This window comes from Homo sapiens, chromosome 3 (assembly GCF_000001405.40).
Source record: "Homo sapiens chromosome 3, GRCh38.p14 Primary Assembly".
Lineage (NCBI taxonomy): Eukaryota > Metazoa > Chordata > Mammalia > Primates > Hominidae > Homo > Homo sapiens.
In genome coordinates, this window is record NC_000003.12 from 91,406,786 (window position 1) to 91,431,946 (window position 25,161).

The 25,161-nt window shown below is 37.7% G+C and overlaps 1 pseudogene across 1 annotated transcript in view, besides 1 other annotated feature; it reads right to left on the reverse strand.

The window, feature by feature from the left end:
• LOC101930420 (DNA primase large subunit-like) overlaps nucleotides 1–25,161 on the reverse strand; it is a 139,540-nt pseudogene that overhangs the window by 32,550 nt on the left and 81,829 nt on the right. Inside the window, exons 4-5 of the transcript NR_172933.1 lie at nucleotides 15,000–15,126; nucleotides 9,762–9,844 (exon numbers count right to left, since the gene is read on the reverse strand). The product of NR_172933.1 is annotated as a DNA primase large subunit-like (transcript). The remainder of the gene's footprint in view (nucleotides 1–9,761; nucleotides 9,845–14,999; nucleotides 15,127–25,161) is intronic.
• Nucleotides 1–25,161: part of a centromere (Linear centromere model derived predominantly from reads generated in PMID: 17803354. This region does not represent an actual centromere sequence, as long-range ordering of repeats and unmapped WGS contigs is not provided by the model. For details of model production, see http://arxiv.org/abs/1307.0035.) that runs on past both edges of the window.

Below are 25,161 nucleotides of genomic sequence, written 5' to 3' on the forward strand. Positions count from 1 at the left end.
ATAAGAAAAAAAAACTATTAAGGAGTAATAGCATTCAGAGATTACAATAAAAGACGTTAACTTCATTGTGGCATATATTACAATGAACTACCACTTTTAGATTAGTCTGTAGGCAGCAATTATTGTTTATTTATTAAGTTCTGTGAGAACTAAGGATATGCCGCAAGTGATTCAGTATAACAAAAAGACAATTTTCCTATAAACTTTATGTATTTATTGTTTGTTAATTTTTGGAGAGATGGAGTCTTGCTGTGTCTTCCAGGATGGAGTACAGTGGCACAATTATAGCTCACTGTAACAATTACTAGGCTCAAGCAAGCTTCCTGCTTCAGCCTCCCGAACAGCTAGAACTACAGGTGTGCACCACCACAACTGTTATTTTTATTACTTTTTTAAAGGCAGGGTCTACAAGGTGGTCTCCAACGCCTGGCTTCAAGCAATCCTCTCACCTCGGCCTTCCAAAGTGCTGGGATTACAGGCGTGAGCCACTGTGGCCAGCCCCAATTTTTCTATTAAAATAGGACATAGCACACCATTATAAGCCCATGAAACAAAGTACAATTTGAAAATTTCATGTGCATCTTTCCACAATAGAAAAAACTTCTGAGAAACAAACCATTTAAGGCCAATAAGAGATTTTACTGTCAATATTTTGAACACATATTCTCAATTTTTTTTTTTTTTTTTTTTTTGGAGACAGGGTCTCACTCTGTGGCCCAGGCTGGAGTGCAGTGGCATGATCATGGCTCACTCAGTCCCCATGGGCTCAAGCAATCCAGCAATCCTCCCACCTCAGCCTCCTGCATAGCTGACACTACAGGTGCATGCCTCCATGCCTGGCTAATTTTTATATTTTTTTGTAGAGACTGGGTTTTGCCAAGTTACCCAGGCTGGTCTCGAACTCCTGGGCTCAAGCAACCCATAGGTCTTGGCTTCCCAAAGTGCTGGGATTCAGGCATGAGCCACCGCGCCCAGCTCTAAAATTTCTGTATCTCAAAATATAAATATTTCTATCATAAAATTGCAGGTTTTTAAAGGAAAAGCTGAAGTGGAAAATAAAAGCTAAAAAACAAAAGTGTTTTTAGAATAATTAGAAACTTCAGACATCTAACTTAGGCAGAAACTATTGATAATAGATACGATACCCAAACTAACAAAACATTGAAAGGATTTTTTAACTCACTGCCAATTTTGAAAAGAAATTAATGAAAGTATTGAGATTAAAATGTATACACACACACACACACACACATATATATATTTGAGACAGAGTCTCGCTCTGTTGCCCAGGCTGGAGTGCAGTGGCATGATCTCTGCTCACTGCAAGCTCCACCTCCCAGGTTCACACCATTCTCCTACCTCAGCCTCCCAAGTAGCTGGGACTACAGGCGCCCGCTAGCACGCCCGGCTAATTTTTTGTATTAGTAGAGACGGGGTTTCATCGTGTCAGCCAGGATGGTCTCGATATCCTGACCTTGTGATCTGCCCGCCTCGGCCTCCCAAAGTGCTGGGATTATAGGTGTGAGCCACCACACCCAGCCAACGTACACCAATATTTTAAGGAGAAAAAGCTGAGGTTCCAATAAGAAGTGACCAATATAGATTGTATATCTATATATTATTCACTGGTCATCAGCTATGTATTCCTGAGAAATAACTTTCCAATAGTCTTAAATTTCTGAACATTTTGCAAATAGAGGCAACAACGGCCTTTACTTCAGACCATTTTTTCAAAGATGTTCATATAATACAATGGTCTCCAACCTTTTTGGAACCAGGGACCAGTATCGTAGAAGACAATTTTTCCACGGGCCAGGGTGGAAAGGTGGTTTCAGGATGAAACTGTTCCACCTCAGATCATCAGACATTATTAGTTCGATTCTCATAAGTAGCACACAACCTAGATCCCTCGCATGCACAGTTCACAATAGGGTTCGAGCTCCTATGAGAATCTAACATGGCCACTGATCTGACAGGAGGTGGGGCTCAGGCAGTAATGCTTGCTTGCCCTGGCTCACCTCCTGCTGTTCCTAACAGGCCATGGACCAGTACCATGTAACATGGCCACTGATCTGACAGGAGGTGGAGCTCAGACAGTAATGCTTGCTTGCCCTGGCTCACCTCCTGCTGTTCCTAACAGGCCATGGACAAGTACCAGTCCGTGGCCCAGGGGTTGGGGACCTCTGATATAATGAACAGCCCTGGAAGACAATGGTTCCTTCCACTGGATTAAACAGCAGACATATGGCAGGAGAATTGCTTGAACCCAGGAGGCAGAGGTTGCAGTGAGCAGAGATCGCGCCATTGCACTCCAGCCTGGGTGACAAGAGCAAAACTCTGTCTCAAAAAAAATAATTAATTAATTAAAAATAAATTAAAAGAGTAGACATACTTACTGTCCATAATAAAAGGTTCAGATTCCCTAAATTCAGGGTTTCCCTCCTCCAACACAAGCAAGCCACTGCATGTGCAGGTAGTACCTGGCCTTCATGTTGCTCTGTGGGAAGTAGGGCTCAAGGAACAAATGCAAGAAAAGGCTGACATACTGCTATTGCTGGAATTGTCATGTCTTCTGCCAGAATCCATAGAAGTGTGGCAGCTAAGTTCTTAGCTTGCAAGTAGGGTAAAATCTCAGATCCTTCACAGTTCCTAACATGGATCAGATACTATGCTAGGTACTGGGAGCTCAGAGGGATTAGGGTTAGAATTTCATACCCAAAGACCTTGCAGTCATCTAGTACTACTGCTATTACCATCTATCCATTAGGCACACGACCATTTAACTTAAACTTCATTAATAACATTATACTTTCTTTCTAACTTTTAATCAAAGTAATGTATGTAAGGAAAAAAACTGAAGTACATTATGGCTTATTATTAAAATCAACAGTTCTCATATCACATTTCTTCCCACTGCTTGGTTAGTTTCCAAGAGGCAATTACTTTAACCATTTCCATTTTTTATTACATAAGATGTTGTCTATGTCACTCTAAATTATATGTTTATACTTTAAGTTCCTGATATAAACTTAATCCACTGCATTTTTACTATGAAAACTAAATATTTTGGCTCATTATGCTACTTACCATCTACCCTTTCTTTCTCCCCCCATTAAAAAAAGAAATTAAGTGGCTCATGTCTATAATGCCAGCACTTTGGGAGGTCAAGGTGACAGGACTGCTTGAGCCATGAGTTCAAGACCAGCCTAGGCAACACAGCAAGACCTCTATCTCTACAAAAAAGTAAAAAATTAGCTGGGCATGGTGATGTGCACCTGTAACCCCAGCTACTTAGGAGACTGAGGCAAGAGGATCACTTAGGCCCAGGAGTTCAAGGTTGCAATGAGATATGATCACACTACTGCACTCCAGCCTGCGTGACAGAGCAAGACCCTGTCTATTAAAAAAAAAAAAAAAAAAAAAAGCGAAAAGAAAAAAAAGAAAAAAATTTAAGGTATAATTTCCACACAGTAAAATATATCCCCTTTTTACTCAGGGACTAAGTTTTTCCTAAAAAAGTAAAAGTTTTTAAATAAAATATATTTCCTTTTATCATAGTTCTGCAACATTTGACAAATTCACTTTTGATATTACCCTGCAATCAACACAGATCATTCCCATTACCCAAAAATATTTCCCTTGTCCTTTATAACACCTCTCCTGCTCCCAGCAATCACTCTGTACCTACAGATTTGTCATACAAATAGAATTATACACCATAGTGCTTTTGAGTCTGACTTCTTTCACTTAGTATAATGTATTTGAGAACCTTACATGTTAATGGGTGTACCAGTAATTTATTCCTTTCTATTGCCAGGTAATATTCCATTGTATGACTATACCACAATTTGTTTATCCAATCACACACTGAAGAACATCTGGGTTGTTTCTAGTTTTTGGCAATTATGAATAATGCCTACACTATAAACACTTAGGAACAGATTTTTATGTGTACTTATGCTTTTATTTCAATTCTATAAATACTAGTTACAGGTATCACTGTGTCACATAGCATGTGTAAGCTTCATTTTATAAGAAGTTGCCACACTCCTTTTCAAAGTGACTCTATGACTTGCATTTCCTCCACTATTGTATGAGACTTTCAGTCACTCTGCATCCTCACTAGCACTTAGTATTGCTTGATTTTTTTAAATTAGACCAATTCTATTTGGCATATCATGGTATTCATTGTAGTTTTAAATTTCATTTCACTAATGAGCTATATTTTTTCCTGTGCTTATATTTACCATTCACACTTTTTCTTTGGTGAACTGTCTACTCAAATGTTTTGCCCATTTAAAAAACTGTTTTCTAATTACTGAGTTTTGAGAGTTCTTTATATCTTTTGGATTCACATCTTTTATGAAATTTATGATTTGCAAATAGTTTCTTCCAGTCTGTGGCTTATCTTGTTCTCTTAAAGCTGTCTTTTGCAGAGCAAAATTTTTAATTTTGGTAAAGTCTAATTTATCACTATTTTCTTTCAGGGAACACACCAAACCCAAGCTCGTGCAGATATTCTGTTTTCTTTTGTTAAGTTTCACATTTTACAGTTACTTAGTTCTATAATCAATTTTTAAATAATTTTTATATAAGCTTGGAGGTATATGTCTAGGATTTTTGCATTTGGATATCCAATTGTTCTAGATCTACTTGTTCTAGAACTCTGGAGTTGTTCTGGAACTCCACATTACCATTTCCTTATTAAATTGCCCTGGCACCTTTGTTTAAAAATCAGTTGCCCGTATATATGTGGGTCTACTTCTGAACTCTATTCTGTCCAATTAATCTGTCTTCATCATTTCCCTAATACCACACCATCTTAATTACAATAGTTTTCAGTAAGTTTTGAAATCAGGAAATATGTGTCTCCACTTTTTCATTTTCATCAGTCTTTCATGTAAAGATCTCATGTATATTTTGGATTTCTGGTACTGCTGTATATGGTATTAGGTTGCTACAAAAGTATTTGCAGTAAAAGCCACAATTATGTTTGCAGCAAACTAATACTTTTTGAAATGTTTAATTTCCAATTGTTCACTGTAAGAAATAGAATTGATTTTTGTATATTGAGTAAGTATCCTTCCACCTACTAGTTACAGTAGCATCTTGCTAGGTTCTTTGAGATTTTTTACACTGATAATCACTTTGAGAATAGAAAAAGGTTTTCTTTCTTCTTTTCTAATCTTTTGTTTTTCTTGCTTTATTGCTCTGCTTTAAATCCTACTTTATAGGATTTCAAATTATTTACATTTGTAATGGATTTTAAAGACCTAGACTATGATCTACCTGGGTTACTATTTCATGTCTCCTGTTGCTGGGTAACATGTTCTACAGATGTTAATTAGGTAAAGTTGGTTGACAGTATTGTTCAAGGCTTCTATATCCTTCCTGACTTTCTGCCTGCTTCTTCTGTTAATTATTAAGAGGAGTGCTGAAGTCTCCAAATGTAACTGTGGATTTTTCTAGTTCTCTTTTCAGTTCTCTATTATTAATTCATGTATTTTGAAGCTATGTTGTTGGGGCATAAATATTTATAATTTTTATATCGTGTTGGTGAATTGACTGCTGTGTATTTCTCTTTTCGGGGAGGAGAGGAGAATAAATGCAGGGGTACCCATTTTCTTTGGCCATATTCTGTTGTTTAATTGCTGTTTCTTAAGCTGGATACCAAGCTCATTAATTTTCAGTGATTTTGTAACACTATTAAGGTTAATTAAAAAGGAAAATGAAATGTGATCCTGTAAGTATGCTTTATAAAAAAAATCAGCAACACCAGCTGAGTCACAATGATCTCTTTTCTGATCACCAAAATTCTGATTATTTAAAACATCTATTTCTTGGCCAGGCGTGATGGCTCACGCCTGTAATCCCAGCACTGTGGGAGGCCGAGGCAGGCGGACCACCCAAGGTCAGGAGTTTAAGACTGGCCTGGCCAACATGGTGAAACCCCATCTCTACAAAAATACAAAAATTAGCTGGACATGATGGAGGGTGCCTGTAATCCCAGCTACTTGGGATGCTGAGGTGGGAGAATCACTTGAACCCGGGAGATGGAGGTTGCAGTGAGCCGAGATTGCGCCATTGCACTCCAGCCTGGAAGACAGAGCAAGACTCTGTCTCCAAAAATTAAAAAAAAAAAAATCTATTTCCTATTGTTGAAGGTATCTTTTTCAAGTAGTTTTCTCTGAGATAAAAATAACCACATGGAGTTCTACCTTACGTACATTTTAATGATGTTTTTCTTAACTCTCATTCAATATTTTAATGTACGCTTGGAGTTTTCAAGATCTAATCTGCACTTAGGCCAACCTGCAAAATTCAACCTCATCAAAATGTTTTACATGGCATTTTCATTCATTGACTCTCTGCCCTTTAGAATACAGTCCACCAGCTGCTTCACTCTAGTGAGATCCACTCAATAAAGACATCATATAAAAGCAAGACATTATTTACAGCTTGCTGGCATGCACTATACATCTGTGTTCATCTCAGATAAAAGGTTACAATGCAGGTCTAAAGGGTAATGTGAAAATTACTAACCAGCTTCAGCTAAGTAAGGAGTATCCTTGTGGATCAAGGGCAAATGGAGAAATACAGTGGAGTCAAAAGCAAAGAGTATACAAACATGGTCATTACTATTAACTATAAACATTAATTTTCTTGAGATAATGTTAGTATATTAAGATTTTTTTTAAAGGTGATTCTTTATGACTGCTAAAAAACGCCTCTAATTTCTTCTAGATTCCCTATCACATTTGTTGGTGGTAGTTTCTAACATTTTCTATAACCAGAATATCATTCATAACCCCTTTACTCTCCAGCTGATGACCCTCCTTACTTTATTTACAAGGAAGAGTGAGACCAGTTGATACACTCCATCAACTTCCCTTTGCTGTGTCTTAACTATTTCCTCTATGTTCCCACATTGCTGAGGGGTATGACTTTCTCTGTCACCATTCTTTGGTTCAAGTACATATCGTCCTTCCTCCAATAAGTTACTTTTTCACTTGTGTCTTTGAGTTCCTATTTGCCTCTCTCTGCATACCACCATGCATACTCTAGCATCCACCTCATACCTAAATATGCCCATTCACTCTTCCAACATTTTTAAAGCACCTAACAAGTGTAACTCATTGGATTGCCATGAGACAGAAAGTTAAGTAAAAATCCAGTCCTCCTTTCGGGAAACTCACAAACTATTGGGAAAGATGAACAGGTAAACAAATAATTACAATCAAGTGTAACAAATGTTAAGAGCAAAGGCATGTACAATCCAGTCATGGTATAAAGAAAAGAGAACTTAATTCTGCTTGGTTAGAGAGATATTTTCTTTCTTTTATATCTTCATCAAGCCCACCCTCTCTGACAGTTCTTTCTTCTCCTCCTCTTTCTACAGATAGGCTCAGGTCTTAAACCCAGAAATGAACAATGATGCTTAAGCTAATACCACTATAGCATCCCCTTTACTGGCACTTTTTTTTTTTCTTGAGACAGGGTCTCACTCCATTGCCAATGCTGGAGTGCAGTGGCATGATCACGGCTCCCTGGAGGCTCAACTTCTTGGGCTCAGGTGATTCTTCTACCTCTGCCTCCTGAGTAGCTGAGGCTACAGTTGCATGCCACCACACCTGCTAATTTTTTGTAGAGACAGGTTTTTGCCATGTTGCCCAGGCTGGTCTTGAATGCCTGGGCTCAGCAATCTGCCTGCCTCAGCCTCCCTACTAAGTGCTAGCATTACAGGTACAAGCCACTGCACCTGGCCTGACACATTTTTTGGAAAGGTTATTTACTGTCTTTCATTAATTTTTTAAGCAAGTATAATCTTGCTTTTGGTTTCCACCATTTTACTGACACCTCACCAAAGTCAAAGTCAAATAATCCTCTCAGCATATCCAACCACCTTTTCTTAGTTCTCTCCATGAAAAGAAATCTCTGCTACAAGGGACTCTGTGGAACTTATTCTCTTCTCAAAATTTTCTCCTTGACTTTTGTGATACTTCACTACCCTAATGTATTTTCTCCCTCTCTCCCCATTTCTGTTCAGTCTTCATTGATCCCACCTCCTTTTAATGCTTGACAAAGAGAAGGATTAGCCAAGATTACATTTTCAAACACAGCTTTTGACACCCTACCTCTTCTCTCCCTCCAGCAAACTCATGATAATAAGCTCTAAAGTAGAGTGGAGTTCAGGGAAAAAAAAAAAATCTTAAGAGTCAGAAAGCCTGGCTTCAATTTTTGGTTCTGCCACTGACTTCCTACCTATGCACCATGGCATGTCACATCCTAGGACTCCAAAAAAGAGAATGGCTTTCTACCTATGCTACAATTCTAACTGAAAAGACCATCAGATTTCTAGTCCTAAATTATCTAATGCCCTAAATCCACATTAATACCATTTAAATGCAGACATAATATGTTAACATAGATACACTAAGAACTTGTATTGTTTTCAAAAAGGTGATCCTTTATGATTGCTTAAAAAAAAGCCACTAATTCTTTATTTCTAGATTCCTTATCAAATATGTTAGCAGCAGTTTATAACCACTAAAATTAAGTCACTCAAACCGAAACCAACTATACTTCCTTTAAGTTACCTATTAGTATTTATGTATTGGTGCCACCATTATCCTAAGCTTGAAATCTTAATACTCCTATAGTCTTTCATTTGTGCATTCTCTCTCCCTAATTCCCAACCTTCGTGCAAGGCCTAATTCAAAGGGCATCTCTTCCATAAAGGGTTCCTTGACCTCTTCAGCTGGTTATAGTCTTTCCCTCATCAGAAGACCCAAAACAGTCTATGTGTACCTCTCATGACACTTGGTTTATGTTTTTTTTTTTTCAGACACTGGTTTTGTGGGAGCAGGATTTATATCTGATTCTTCCTTGCATACTCTATGGCACCTTGAACACTGCTTTGCTCAAAGTACTAAAAAACTGTTTAAGATTTGTTATCTGAACTTTGGACACAGAAGCAGCTGTAAAGTTGTCTAGAGTAACAATTTTCTTTAAATAAAAATAACAGTTTAAAGATGTATGATGATTTAGATGTTCTAACTCTAAAATATATAATGTTCTTCTTAAGCTAAGGAAGCAGAAGCTCTTCCCCTATTCCTTCAAAATTCCAGTCAACTTGAAAGCACACTATAGAAAATAGTCTTTGCTATGTCACAATATTAATTTTTTAAAGGTAGAGTTACTACTACTAAAAAATGTACTGTTTCACATTTGGTTTTACAATCTGAGCATTTCCATTGTTCATAAGACAAAGTATTTTGACAAACTATTTGATCTACCATCAGAAGTGTAGATTAAACACAGCAATAACTGATGCCTATCAGAACATTCAGCCAGTATGTACTACATTATCATCTGCTCAGAAAATAATTTCCCAAACTGCAATATGCTGTCATTAATTTTCAGCTTCATTAATAAGCTTCCATGCATTGCTCAAAAATTTTATTTTTAAAGATGTAGTCCCCAGTTGAGATAGTAAAACAAACTGAGGTGTGGAGGAAGGTTTCCAGCTTCCTTTATGACTAGGAAAAATAAAAATGCAGCTTAGCAGACAGAAGAACTAGAATTTCCCAAGAGTCTAAACCAGATAAGTCAAGGTTTTAACTTAATTCATCTTGAAGATAAGATGTCTGGTGTGAGGCCTGACAAGTGGTACACAGCATCACTGCAAGAACATTAAATAAAACCGACAGATCTGTCTAAGGCCTCATTACTGCAGATGCAGAGAGAAGAATATGACCTACCTGGCTTATCCCTCCAGGAGAGATCTTGTATGACTGCAACTTTTGCTTCAGCAGCTCTGGATCACTGTGACGGAATGGGCACCCTGACAACAAAAAAATAAGCCAGCACACAAACAAGGTTATTTACCCACAACTTAGTACAATACCACACTCGAGAGACCATCTAAGCTCCCCTTAATTGTCTAACAGCTTATTAATAAAAAAAGGTAATTGCCCATGGGTGCAACTGCTTTCCTCTTTTCATCTAAATGATTACTTAGCTGTATGGTTATCAGGGCACTCCAGGCTCAAGAGTTACATAAAACATTGCAGCATTCTCAGGCTAAGATGTCCATTCAACAGGAAGAGGGAAAACAGCTTTAATTATGCTCCTTGCTAACAAGCACAAATAATCACAAAATAGCTATGTAATAGTTTATTTTAAAACTTTAACAATCTTCTTATATTCTAGTCTAAAAATTATATAAAAGGCATATGAGAGAAGGAAGATAGATAAACAAAATGAAAAACATGCAAACTCTGAGAAAGAAAAAAATTCAACATCATTTTCAAACGTAAATTATATGCCTATTTCCTAAAGCGTAGAATCTATGAAAATGTAAAAGAATCATGGATGGAAATGAGATGAAAAAATAAACTATTTCATAGAAAAACAATTTATGGTGGATATGTGTCATCGTTATATTATTTCATGAAAAAAATGAAAGACCACTAGAAATATTCACATAAATAAGAATACAGAAGAATTTGAAATACAAAAGCTGTTTTAGGACAAAATCTAGAAAATTTTAGATATTTTAACAAACTGCAATGGTAAGTCAAAATGCTTATTAAAAATTTAATACAGAAAAGTCTTTTTTTCAGTCATACAGATGATAGATTTGTAAGTTAATAATTGTGCATTTTTCACAAATTAGAAAATCTAGAGGAAATGACTAAGTTCCAGGAAACACACAACCTTCCGTGACTGAAGCAGGAAGAAAGTGAAAATCTGAACAGACCAATAATGAGGTCTGAAATTGAATCTGGAATAAAAAACCTATCAACCAGAAAAAGCCCTGGACCAGGTAGATTCACAGCCAAATTCTACCAGATGTACAAAGAAGAATCGGTACCAATCCTACCAAAACTATTCCAAAAAACTAAGGGGGGCGACTCCCCCCATTAACTCAATTTATGAAGCCAGCATCACCCTGATACCAAAATCTGGCCGAGACACAATGAAAAAAAGAAAACTTCTGGCCAATATCTCTGATGACCATAGAATCAAAAATCCTCAACAAAATACTAGCAAACTGAATCCAGCAGCACATCAAAAAGCGAATTCACCATGATCAAATAGGCTTTATTTCTGGGATGCAAGTCTGACTCAACATATGCAAATCAATAAAAGTGATTCACCACATAAACAGAATTAAAAACAAAAAACATATTATCTCAATAGAAAAAGCTTTCAATAAAATCCAATATCCTGGCCAAGCGTGGTGGCTCACGCCTGTAATCCCAGCACTTTGGAAGGCCGAGGCAGGCGGATCACGAGATCAGGAGATCAAGATCATCCTGGCTAACACGGTGAAACCCCATCTCGACTAAAAATACAAAAAATTAGCTGGGCATGGCGGCAGGCACCTGTAGTCCCAGCTACTCAGGAGGCTGAGGCAGGAGAACGGCATGAACCCAGGAGGCGGAGCTTGCAGTGAGCCCAGATCGCACCACTGCATTCAAGCCTGGGAAACAGAGTGAGACTCCATCTCCAAAAAAAAAAAAAAAAAATCCAATATTCCTTCATGATAAAAACCCTCAAAAAACTAGATACCAAAGGAATATACCTCAAAATAATAAGAACTATCCAAGAGAAACCCACAACCAACACCATACTGAATGGGCCAAAGCTCAAACCATTTCCCTTGAGAATGGGAACAAGACAAGGATGCCCACTCTCCCCACTCTTACTCAAAATACTACTGGGAGTCCTACCCAGAGCAATCAGGCAAAAGAAAGAAATAAAAGCCATCCAAATAGGAAAAGAAGTCAAACTATCTTTCTTTGCTGATGATATGATTCTATACCTAGAAAACCCTAAAGAATGCACCAAAAAGGCTCCTGGAATTAATCAATGACTTCAGCAAAGTTTCAGGATACAAAATTAATATATAAAAATCAGTAGCATTTCTTTTTTGAGACAGAGTCTCACTCTGTCACCTGGTGCAGTGGTGCCATCTCAGCCAACTGCAACCTCCGCCTCCTGAATAGCTGGAATTACAGGTGCACACCACCACGCCTGGCTAATTTTTGTTTTGCTTTTTAATTTTAGTAGAAATGAGGTTTCACCATGTTGGCCAGGCTGGTCTTGAACTCCTGACCTCAAGTGATCTACCCGTGTTGGCCTCCCAAAGTGCTGGGATTACAGGCATGATCCACCACGACCAGCCTTAAAAATCAGTAGCATTTCTACATACCAACAATGTTCAAGCTGAGAGCCAAATCAAAAACACAATTCTGTTTACAGTAGCCACCAAAAAATAAATAAATAAAATATTTAGGAATACATCTAAGCAAGGAAGTGAAAGGTCTCTACAAGAAGAACTACAAAACGCTGCTGAAAGAAATCAGAGACAACACAAACAGAAAAACATTCCATGCTCATGGATTGGAAGAATCAATATCATTAAAATGGCCATACCACCCTAAGTAATGTACAGATTCAATGCTATTTCTATCAAACTACCAATGTCATTTTTCACAGAATAAGAAAACAACTATTCTAAAATTCATATGGAACTAAAAAAGAGCCTAAATGACCAAAGCAATCCTAAGCAAAAGGAACAAAGCCAGAGGCATCACTCTACCTAACTCCAAACTATACTATAAGGCCATTGTAACCAAAACAGTATGGTACTGGTACAAAAACCGACACATAGACTAATGAAACAGAATAGAGAATCAGAAATAAGACAGCATACCTACAACTATCTGACCTTCAACAAAGTCAATAAAAATAGGCAATGGAGAAAGGACTCCCTATTCAATAAATGTGTTGGAATAACCAGCTAGCAGAGACATGAAAATTCTAAGAACAAAAAAGAAATGCTAGTGATCAAAAACACTGTAACAGAAATGAAGAATGTCTTCAATAGGTTCATCAGTAGACTGGACATGACTGGGGAAAATCCTTGGATCTTGTGGATGTGACAGATAGAAACTTCTGAAACTAAAAAGCAAAGAGAAAAAAGACAAAAACAAAACAAAACAAAATACAATACCTAAGAACTATGGGACAACTATAAAAGGTATAACGTGTGTGTAAATGAAATCCCAAAAGGTGAAAAAAGAGAGAAAAGAACAGAAGCACAGATGGGGAGAAAACATTTGCAAAAGACAAATCTGATAAAGTACTGTTATGCAAAATACACAATGAACTCTTGTAAACTATGGGCTTTGGATGATAAGGATTTGTCAATGTAGGTTCATCAATTGTAACACATGTACCAGTGTGGTGTGGGATACTGACAGCAACGGAGGTTGTGCGTATGTTGGGGCATGGAGGTATACGGGAACTCTGAACTTCCCACACGATTTTGCTGTGAACCTAAAACAGCTCTAAAAAATTAAGTTTATTACTTTTTAAAAACGGAGTAAGTAAATGTCCAACAAATAATGAGTTCATTGAGTGCTAAGTATAATATTTCTTGACTGACAGAGTTGAACTTAGAAACAAAATAATAACATAAAGCACTGGGATAACAAGATACAACTTAACAGAAATAAAGTTTTGCATTTAAGCTAAAGAAAACCAACTAATTAAGAGACAAATGCTAGAACCTGGAAATTTGCAGACAAATCCCTGGGAGTTTTACTTGGCCACAAGCTTAATCATAAGTTGACTGCCTGGTATGGCTGCTAAGCTAAAAAAGGCTTCAGGCTTCCTCAACAGAAGTACCTGGACCCATGGTTTTCAAACTTTAGAAGACATAAAACTCACCCAGTGTACTTGCAAATAAAGTCTGATTTTATATGACTGAGGGTGCACCCTGAGAATCTGCATTTCTAAAAAAGTACCTCAAGGGACTCTGAAATAAGTGATAAAAACCACTCAATATCTATTACCAGGCTGGTTGTGGTGGCTCAGGCCTGTAATCCTAGCACTTTGGGAGGCCAAGGCGGGCAGATCACCTGAGGCCCACCAGCCTGGCCAACTAGGCGAAACCTCGTCTCTACTAAAAATACAAAAAATTAGCCAGGCTGGGTGGCAGGTGCCTGTAATCCTAGCTACACAGGAGGCTGAGGCAGGAGAATTGCTTGAACCCAGGAGGTGGAGACTGCAGTGAGCCGAGATTGCACCATTGCACTCCAGCCTGGGCAACAAGAACGAAACTCTGTCTCAAAAAAAAAAAAAATCTATGTCTATATATAGATCTATCTTATCTGCCTATCTATATAACTAGTGCTGGCCACTTCTTCATCTATTAACTAATGAATATATAGGCATTTTTTAATGATTTGGTCACATAGAATGTCTTTCTAAAAATATTGTTTATGATTATTTGATCTTTAGCAGTCCAAAAGTGTGCAGTCTTTTAAAAAGTGTTTAAGATTCTAAAACAAAAATAAGTTTTGACACATACTGTAGTAAGCTTTGATAATCCAGAAAATTTACTGATATAAACTATTAATTCATTCTTGGACATACCAGACAAATGAGATGTTTTGTTTTTCTTTATAAATAACTCAGGCAAACTGATAGTTATGGCAGATATCACGACATGTTAAATTGCCCACTTAATCTTTGTTGGTTAATCAGATGATGGTGATAAGAAAAAAACCTCACACTTTTCCTTAGTAGTTAGCCTTTGGAAAATTAATGAATCTACTATTCCAAACTTAGAATATTCTAATTTCAAAAAGCTTTGTAAAACTTACATCGCCCTCTAAGACACTCGCAGAACACTGCAGAAGATGAGGGAGACAGAGAACAGCGGGAAGGAAGAAAGTGAGAACTGAAAAGCCTAATCCAGCACAAACTGAAGTGCAGCTGAATGAATTTCTCTTGCCTGACCTAGTTCAGTAATAAGACAAATTGTTCTAAGAGTAATGGAGCTCTAGCTTGACAGTGACGACTGACATAAGCTACAAACTAGGTCCTGACAGGAATGCAAAAAGCCGCAGCATTGTTTCAGTGTTTCCAACAGAGCTCTTGGATTTCTGTACTTGGCCAACATATCCAGTGGAGGCACTTACCATGATAATCCCCTTGGCTTGGTGGATTGGATAGAATAATCTTCAGGCAACTGAAAGGTGTATAGTCTGTCCTCTTGCCTTCCTTTCCAAAGCTGTGACAGATGTTGTAAGAGCAACCTTTACCAAACTGATTGGGAGGAAATGGAAAAAGAGACAAAGTCAGCCAATAATTATACTAGTGAGGTCAGCAACACAAGCTAGAATCAAAGAGTGCAAAGCAATATTTTCTAGAATAAATTCAGCATTCACAGGCAGATGTACATTCATGCCATGTATATTATTTAGGTCCTTTATGATACAAATAATTTCTTTTTTAAAAAAAGGTACAAAACTTATAGAAAACAAATTTATCAGGTAGAAGACAGCTAATGTTACCTATACGTTTAAAGATAAAGTAAATCTTTTCCTGAGAAGAATAATCAATTTGCCCTTCTTCGTTTGATTCCAAAGATTATAGAAGAAAATCAGTTTAGCCTCTTTTCTATCCACCTTCCCCTAATTCTCCCTGAATTCCTGTATCTAACCCATTCTACTTCCTAAATGCCTATAAAATAGTTAATCCTAGGCCAGGTGCAGTGGCTCATGCCTGTAATCCCAGCACTTCAGGAGGCTTAGACGAGAGGATCGCTTGAGCCCAGGAGTTCAAGACCAGCCTGGGCAACACAGTGAGACCCATCTCTACAAAAAAATTAAATATTAGCTGGGTGTGGTGGCATGCACCTGTCGTCTCAGCTACTCAGGAGCCTGAGGTAGAATTATCACTTGGGCTGGGGGGTTGAGGCTGCAGTGAGCCATGATTGTGCCACTGTACTTCAGCCTGGGCAACATAGTGAGACCCGGTCTCAAAATATAATAACAATAATAATAATAACAATCCCTTCCTCTGGATTTCCACTATACAAAGTAGTCAGCAAATGCTTAATGAATGAAGTACTACAACTGCCTCCTACCCAGAATCCTTGCCTCCATGTTCATAAAACAAGCTAATGGGACAGAAGGGACTTTGAACTGGGTCAGACAGGAGAACAAAAGGAACCAGCATATAATGAAAAGTGACCAGGTGCCAGGCATTTTGTAGGAGCTTTTAAAAGTGTAATCCCATTTAATCATTTAGATAATCACAACTCCTCTATGATGCTACACTTGAGAAAACTGAAGTTCAAAGTATGAAGCAATGTGATGCATGACAGTTATTAAATGGTAGACATGTACAGACAAGTCTGATTCCAAAACCCAACTCTACAAAAAAATGAAATATTAGCTGTGTGTGGTGGCATGCACCTGTCGTCTCAGCTACTCAGGAGCCTGAGGCAGTGAGCTATGATCGTGGCATTGCAGTCAGGGCAACAGAGCAATATTCTGACTCTAAGAAAAATTAAGAATTAAATTTAAAAAGTCACTAACCATCATGCATTGGAAAACATTTAATGGAAGCAGAATAATGGGTTGATAGCTTCCTAATGCTATAGTAGACCAAGGAGTACTTCACACTTTTTTCTTCATGCATGCTGGTACTGAGGTGGGTGCAAAGATCCAATAGACAGATCTTACCTCAAGGAGTTTATGGTCCTGGAGGAACTAATCAACTATGTGAATGCGTGATTAATAGAAAATAACATGATAATGTGTCATAAAAGAAGTAAAGTGCTATAAAAATCAAATATGTTATGAAGATAAATCTTCTAGAGAGGTCTAGGTATAAGTATAGGTAAAATGCTATTGAAATATGTAGGAAGAAGAGATTTTGGACCACAAAATGAAGTATCATTTAAAACGGAGTCTGAAAGAGAGAAGTTATGTCCTAAAAAGATTTAACTGGAAGTTATTACTTTTAAATATTTTGTTATTTCTTATTACTAAGGAAGTGTGGTATTACAGAAAGAGTGTGGGCTATATTCAATTCACTTCTGACACTAACTAGAGCTCATGCAGATCTCTCATGGATTAAGAGCTCAGTCTCACAAGACTGTGCCCTACTTCATATACCAATTGCAAGCAGTAGGTTCCCAAGTCACCACAACTTCTGACCAGTTTGGCCACAAGTGGGAGGTTACCAGAACCCCCTTCTCAGGTTCAGTAATGTGCTAGAGCAGCTCATAGAACTCCTGGGCTCAAGTGATCTTCCCACCTCAGCCTCCTGGGTGACTAGGACTACAGGTGTGTGTCACCAGACAAGGTCTTGCTATGTTGCCCAGGCTGGTCTCAAACTCCTGGGCTCAAGCAATCCTCCCACCTTGGCCTACTAAAGCCCTGGGATTGCAGATGTGAGCCACTATGTCGGGCCCTTGGTTGATGATTTTCTAATTCCACTACTAGGTGACACTCATCTGGCATAACAACCCATACCCCATTGGTCAACCAAAAGCAGACAATGTACCTTTGACAAGATATCTGGCAAGAGCAAATATTCAATACTGGTGGAATCTTGGACAAAAATCTAATTTTCCTGGGAAAGAGGTAGGGGTTAGGGTGGGTGTCCCATGTTAAGTGGTCATTTGGGCAAAAACTACAAACCTAAAACCAAGTTTCTAAAATGAATTTTAGAGTACGGCAAATGACTGATTTAGTCAAAAATTTATCTTCTACTCTGAAAAAAATACATGTTTGTTTAAAAGACAAACCTTGCCACTTTTATACTGGAGCACAATCTTAAACTACCACTCAGTGATCTCTCAAGGCTGGCACAAACAGAATTATCAGAAGCTGTGAGTGGCTGTGGAGCACATCAAATGTTCCTACATGGTACATTAAGCAACACTTGTTAAATAGTGAGAAGCCAGATTGCCCAAATAACAAGTCATTTTCAAAGGGCAAAATCTTCAAGGTTCTCACTCTAATAATTAGAGTGAAATGGCTATAAAGAGCTTATAGTTTTTACTGCTATGATTCTTTAACTTATAAAATGGATACTGTAGAAAGCTTAGAGAATGATTACTTGGCAATTTTTCATACATGAAATTAAAGTATCATGTAGATAGAAATAAAAATAAAACAGATTATTTTGAGTTTATAAATAATTATACATATTGGCAATGAACTGAAACTTAAATACAAAAGGTGGGCAGGCCATATTTTGGAAAACAGGTAAATCCCCCCTCTTTTAAGTGACTGCAAGACACTTCAGAGTTGCCTTGGCTTGCTTTCTCTGGGCTCATACTAAGAGCAACACACACAGAGTAGGCATTTTAAAGATCCCAGGCTTGGGAGGCAAAGAAACCTGGGAAAGAATCCCCAGCTTGTCCACTTATAAAGGGTATTACTTCAATCCTCAATTTTCCTAATCTATAGGGACAGTAATATTAATGCATTAAATTGCTATGGAGATTATATTAAATTAAATTAAAACATTAAGCAGAGTACCTGTCACATCCTTTGTTCTCAATAAATATTAGCTGCTATTGGTGAGGGAAAAACCGGAAAATATTTGGTGTCCTAGTTTAAACACTGACTATGCTACTGCAAAAGACTTCTATTTCAGTAGATACTAACAGAACCTTTACCTAAAGGTTTAGGGAGAATAAAAGACTCACTAAACTATTCAATTACACTTCTAGTCATCTTCTTAAAATGTCCCCCTTCTTCCAACTCCTATCCACAACTCTAACTATTCATACAAACTGGCTCAAATGTCACTTCCTCTGTGGAATCTTCCCAAGCACCCAAGGCAGAAGACATTGCTTCCTCAAAAGAATGCACAGCAGCAGTTTGTACAGTGCTGTACCTTTCTTGTTGCAATGGAATTTAGTTTTGTATTTATCACTTCTAAACTAGGAATGTTGTTAAGGGCAGGGACTTGGTTGCGTACTCATCGTAGCATGCCTACTCAGTATCTGATAAAACATCTACTCATAGGAGGTGCTCAATAACCTTCACTTGAATGAAAGAGCAAATAAGCAGTAGCTGTCTGGAAAGATGAATGTATAAATATGCTTCAAGGGATTTTAACTTATCAGGATTAAATAACTTCAAAAACTTGCCAAATCATTGCAAGTTTACACGGCTGTGCTATTTTGTTCTTCTGGATAGCTTTTCTTCTTCACTGTAACAACAACAACAAAGACTGAAAAAGAGTTTAAATGATGCCCTATATAGAGTATAGTGGATACATTAAAAGATAATAAAAGTAATAAATTTTATTTTCTTTCAAAAATTGCCTCAGTATAGTGGGACTGGGCTGTCCAATACTTTAAGAGAATAAGAAAGAGAGTCAGAATAAGAGATAGGAAAATACCTTGCTATTTTTTGTGTGAGATTTTTTAATTTGAGGTTATAATTTAAATATAGTGAAATGCAGATATCTTAAGTCTATAGTTTGATCAGTTTGGGTAAGTGACTATACCTATATAACCCACACCCCTACCAGAAGATAGAACATTTCTATCAACCTGTAGAATTCCCTCTTGCTTCTTCTCAGTCAACATTCCCCTCCCTCCACAACCAGAAGCAACTACTGATCCGATTTTTGTTACCACAGATTAGTTTTAACTATTCTATAACTTTATATCAATGGAATCATACGGTATAAAGTATTTTGTGTCTGGCTTCTTTCATGTCCTTTAATGCTTCTGAGATTTATCCTTGCCATTACATGTATCAGCAATTTGTTCTTTTTTATTGCCGAGCAGTGTTCTACTGTATGGATATACCAGATTGCTTGTCTAGGCTCTTGCTGATGGGCACCTGGATGTGATATTGTGATACAATAAGAAATGTGTATTTGATCCCTGACCCTGGTTCCTCGCAGAGAGTTCCCAAAACTCTTGTAATTTCCTGAGCAAGAGGGATGCTAGGTGCATCTTTTGTTCTAATATTTGGTCTGTGGCGCCAGTTTCTAACAGAGTTGCTAATCCCTTGGAACTTCCTGGGCATTGATAAGAGTGTCTTTTGTTCTAATGAGGTGACTCTTGGTGGGCTCCTGGATGGGGGCTGGTCACCAGAAAGACCAAGCCATAATTAGAAGCCTGGAACTTTCAGACACACTATGCCATCGTCCAGGAAAAGGAGGGGGCTGAAAAATGAGTTAATAAATGCTCAGCCTGTATGATGAAGCCTCCATAAAAATCCCTAAACTACAGGGTTTAGAAAGCATCTGGGATGCTGAAGACATGGAGATGATAGGAGGGTGGAACACCCAGAGAGGGCATGGAAGGTCCATGCCGCTTCCTACATATCTTACCCAGAGTACTTCTTTGTCTGTTCACCTGTATCCCTTAAAACAATCCTTTATAATAAACTGATAAATATAAGTGTTTCCCTGAGTTCTATGAGCTGCTCTAGCACATTACTGAACCTGAGAAGGGGGTTGTGGTAACCTCCCACTTGTGACCAAACTGGTCAGAAGTTGTGGTGACCTGGGAACCTACTGCTTGCAATTGGTATATGAAGTAGGGCACAGTCTTGTGAGACTGAGCTCTTAATCCATGAGAGATCTGCATGAGCTCTAGTTAGTGTCAGAAGTGAATTGAATATAGGCTATCCGGCTAGCATCAGAGAATTGGTCAGTGTGAGAAAAATCCACACATCTGGTCACTATACCCTTTGTGTTAAGAGTACAGTAGGAGAAAATTGGTTTTTTCCTACCATACACACTGGGCTTTTACAGTTTTTGGTTATTCTCAATCAAGTGGCCATGAACATTCTTACATATGACTTTTGTAGGTATATATTTTCATTTCTCTGGGATAAGTACATAGAAGTGGAATTGCTGCCAAACATTTTCCAGAGTAGTTGTACTATTTTATACCCCCACCAGCAATCACTGACAGTTCTACATTCTCCCCAACATTTGGTATGATCAATCTTGCTAATTTTAGCCATTCTGGTGGGTAGCCAGTGGCATCTCACTTTGCATTTCCCTGATGACTAATGATCATGAGCACTTTTTCATGTGCTTTTTGACCAGTGATATTCCTTATTTTATGAAATGTCTGTTCAAATCTTTTGCCCATTTAAAAATGTTGATTGCCTTCTTTTAATAATTGAATAATTCTTTATATATTCTGGACACAAGCCTTTTGTCAAATATAATTGTAACAAAGGCTTATCTACTTGACGTTATCTTCTGATGAGCAGGTGTTTTTATTTTTGATGAAGTCCAATTTATCAACTTTTTAATGGTAGTGCTCTCTGTGTCCTAAGATAAATTGCAAAGATATTTTTATGTTGTCCTTTAGAAATTGTAATGTTTTAGCTTTTAAGTCTAGGTCCTGATTCATCTCAAGTTAATTTTTGTCTGTGGTGTAAGGTAGGAATCAAAGTCCTTTTTATTCTGCATGTGGAAAAACACCTTTCCGAACACCATATGTTGAAGACACTTTCTTTTTCCCATTAAATCACGTCAGCATCCTCATCAAATTTGACCACATATGTGTAGTTCTATTTTTGGAACTGGATCTGACTGGATCAGATCCAACTGGATCCCATTGATCTATATATCTGTCCTTTTGCCAATAACACAGTCTTGATTACAATAGCTTTAGAGTAACTTTCAAAGGTAAGTGAGTCCTACTTTGTTCATTTTCAAGATTATTTTGGCTATTCTACGTCCTTGCATTTCCATATAAATTTTAGAATTGGCTTGCCGATTTCTTTTAAAAAGAGAATGCTGAAATTTTTAACAATCGGTAGTTTATGTCTTCACAACTGCTATCTGTCCACAAGTAACCAATAACCAGAAAAACAAATAGCATTTCAAAGAAAAGAAAACTTTCAAGAAAGAAGAAAGACTTTCAAGCCATCATTAATTTAACTGGTGAAAACAAGGACATTAAAATTTCCACCAAACACTTTATAAACAACTTCTGTTTGTTTCTTTAGTCATAAACATGAACTATAATCTTTTTTGTGAAAACTTTTAGGTAGGAATTGAATTTAATTAGATACAAGATTTCAGTTATGTTCATCACAAAATAGGGAAAGAACATTTTGGTAAGCTATTCTGTTAAAATAATAGAAAGCTAATCTCTCTAAAAGAGAAAAGCTAGAAGTATTAACTTCCCTCTTCTTTCCAATTCATGTACTGCCTTTGTATACATGTCTAAAATTTGGACTCTTCCAAGCCTACTGGAAACAAGAAAAAAATAAAAATAAATGAAACTTGGATCTTACTAAGCTTTCAAACTATCCATGTATTTACCAAACAAATTGTCATCTCTGGTTTTCAAATTTACAAATTCAAGAAATATTGTACAGAGACTGTATTTACTTGGAGATATTTTTTAGCAAATACTTTATAGGTCTTCATATCCACAACTCAAAGGAAAACCTCTAAGCATTGGGTATGAAAAGAGGTAGGAAGGCCGGGCATGGTGGCTCACACCAGTACTTTGGGAGGCCGAGGCGGGTGGATCACTTGAGGTCAGGAGTTCGAGACCAGCCTGGCCAACATGGTAAAACCCCATCTCTAATAATAATACAAAAATTAGCTGGGTGTGGTGGTGCATGCCTGTAATCCCAGCTACTCAGGAGGCTAAGGCAGGAGAATCACTTGAACCCGGGAGGCAGAGGTTGCAGTGAGCCAAGATTGCACCACTGCACTCCAGCCTGGGTGACAAAAGCGAAACTCCATCTCAAAAAAAAAAAAGAAGTAGGAAGAAATAAATAGAAAACATATGTTTCTGTCTAGGCTCTTCCCTCCCACTCCATTCATTCAGTGTGGGGAAAGGCCAGAAAGTCAAGACAGGTCTGAAGGTGGGTACGTGGCAGTTTGCAACCTTCAAAATTAGTCCAGACATCCCAGCTGTGGCACTGGCAATACACCAATATGCATTCCTATCAAAGACAGCAGTAAGTTACTTTCAGAGGCATTGTGTTAAATGATGAACTCAAGAAAAACTGTAAAGCAGGCACACCTTTATCTAGTTCCAACTCTGTTCTCAGAGCCTCTTTCGCAACTTTGTCTTCTATCCCAAGCCCACCCAGGGTCTAGTGACCTTATTATATTTTTTAAAGTATTTATGCCCAAATCTATTCAAACACTATGGTATAAACATCTCTTTGCTGACATGGACAGTGCATTGCATGGTCTTCCTTAGAATAAAGTCTTTTCTACAAGGAAAAAAACACAGACTAAATATTACTCCTATTTTTTTTTTTTTTTTTTTTGAGACAGAGTCTTACTCTGTCACCCAAGCTGGAGTGCAGTGGTGTGATCTTGGTTCACTGAGACCTCCACCTCCCAGGTTCAAGCCATTCTCCTGCCTCAGCCTCCTGAGTAGCTGGGATTACAAGTGCCCTCCACCACGCCCAGCTAATTTTCGTATTTTTAGTAAAGACCATGTTGCATGTTGGCCAGGCTTGTCTCGAACTCTTAACCTCAGGTGATCCACCCACCTCAGCCTCCCAAAGTGCTGAGATTACAGGCGTGAGCCATCACGCCTGGCCTACTACTCCTATTTTCAAAGCAACAAAAACTTCACTATACAAGGTCGGCTTGAACAATAAAGTGAGAATGGTTAAAAAGTATCCTTTAGAGAGAGATTTGTATTCAAAAAGGAACATCTTCTTGACCTAAATGAGGCAAAAGAGCCATGTATATGTTCACAGAAATCAGCATAAGGATATGGCATTTAAAAATTTTTAATTTTTAAATTTATTACACATGCAGGTTTGTTATACCATTATATTGTGTGAAGCTGTTAGGGCTTTTAATGATCCCATCACCCAAGTAGTGAACAAAGTACCCAATAAGTAGTTTTTCAACCCTTCTTCTTTTCCCTCTCTCCTGGCTCTAGGTCCTCAGTGTCTATTTTTCCCATATTTATGTCCATGCGTACCCAGTGTTTAGCTCCTACTTATAAGTGAGAACATGCAGTATTTGATTTTCTGTTCCTGTGTTAATTCACTTAGGTTAACGACCTCCAGCTGCATCCATGCTGCTGCAAAGGACATGATTTTGTTCTTTTTATGGCTGTGTAGTATTCCTTCGTGTATATGTACCATATTTTCTTTATCTAATTCACCTTTGATGGGTACCTGGGTTGATTTCATATCTTTGCTATTGTGAATAGTGCTGTGATAAACATAAAAGTGCAGGTGTCTTTTTGGTAGAACAATTTATTTTCCTTTGAGTATATACCTAGTAATGGGATTCCTGGGTGGAATGGTAATTCTATTTTAGTTTGAGAAATCTCCAAACTGGGGATTTCCTCAGGGGCTGAACTGATTTGCATTCTCGCCAGCAGTGTGTAAGGATTCCCTTTTCTCCACAATCTCGCCATCATCCATTAATTTTTGGCTTTTTAATAACAGCCAGATACAACATTTCTTCAGGAGGACATTTTAACCTTCTTTTTAGTGGCAGGTGTTTCTTACCTTCAAGAACTTGGAACTCTAATTTCCATATTAAAAGAAACAAAGTGAGAGTCTGCTAAACTACAAAGTGACCTCATTATTACTCACCAGTGCCCAGAATTTAGGATACCAAAATCATTAGAAGCAGGTCCTATGAAGATTAGTTATCATAAGTACTAACAGAAACTCAAGCTCAGCATCAGGGTCACACATATAAGTGAACCTATCAGGAGGAAAAGGGCATGAAACCATCTTATGGCCTTTTCTTAGCACACATTCTTGTGATAATTTTTTGACCTATTGATTATGTTGTCTTGAGTCACTACCTTAAAGTCTAATGTATAATTTTAATAACCAGAGTGATGTTATAGGCATTTAATATATGGTGCCCCCTTTTAAATTCTTATGTAACTAAATTACTCAATTACTATCTATTAAACTAAATTTGTAATCAGTCACCTATAGATCCAAATACTTCCCTTTAACTCTTAACTTCAAACACAGTTTAACTCTTAGAGATCATTGAAACATCACACATATTCTAACCAAACAACACACCAAAGGAGATGTGGAGGCCCCAAGGAGTCCAGGAGGCAGTAAATACTAATGGTTGAAGTCAGATACTCAAGTTTAAATATTGTCTCTAATACATGCTAGCTGTGTGACCTTGGACAGTTTACTTAACTTCTTTGCAACAATTCTCTTTTATGTAAAAAAGGAGTTATATCTATCACATAGGGTTGACTTGGGGATTAAGTTAGCTCATTTTCATAAAGTACTTGGTATAGCGTCCTGCACACAGTGATAAAATGCTCTCCTTGACCAAACTTTAGTCAGGCTCTTCTGAACCTCATCTCAACTAGGCCTAGAG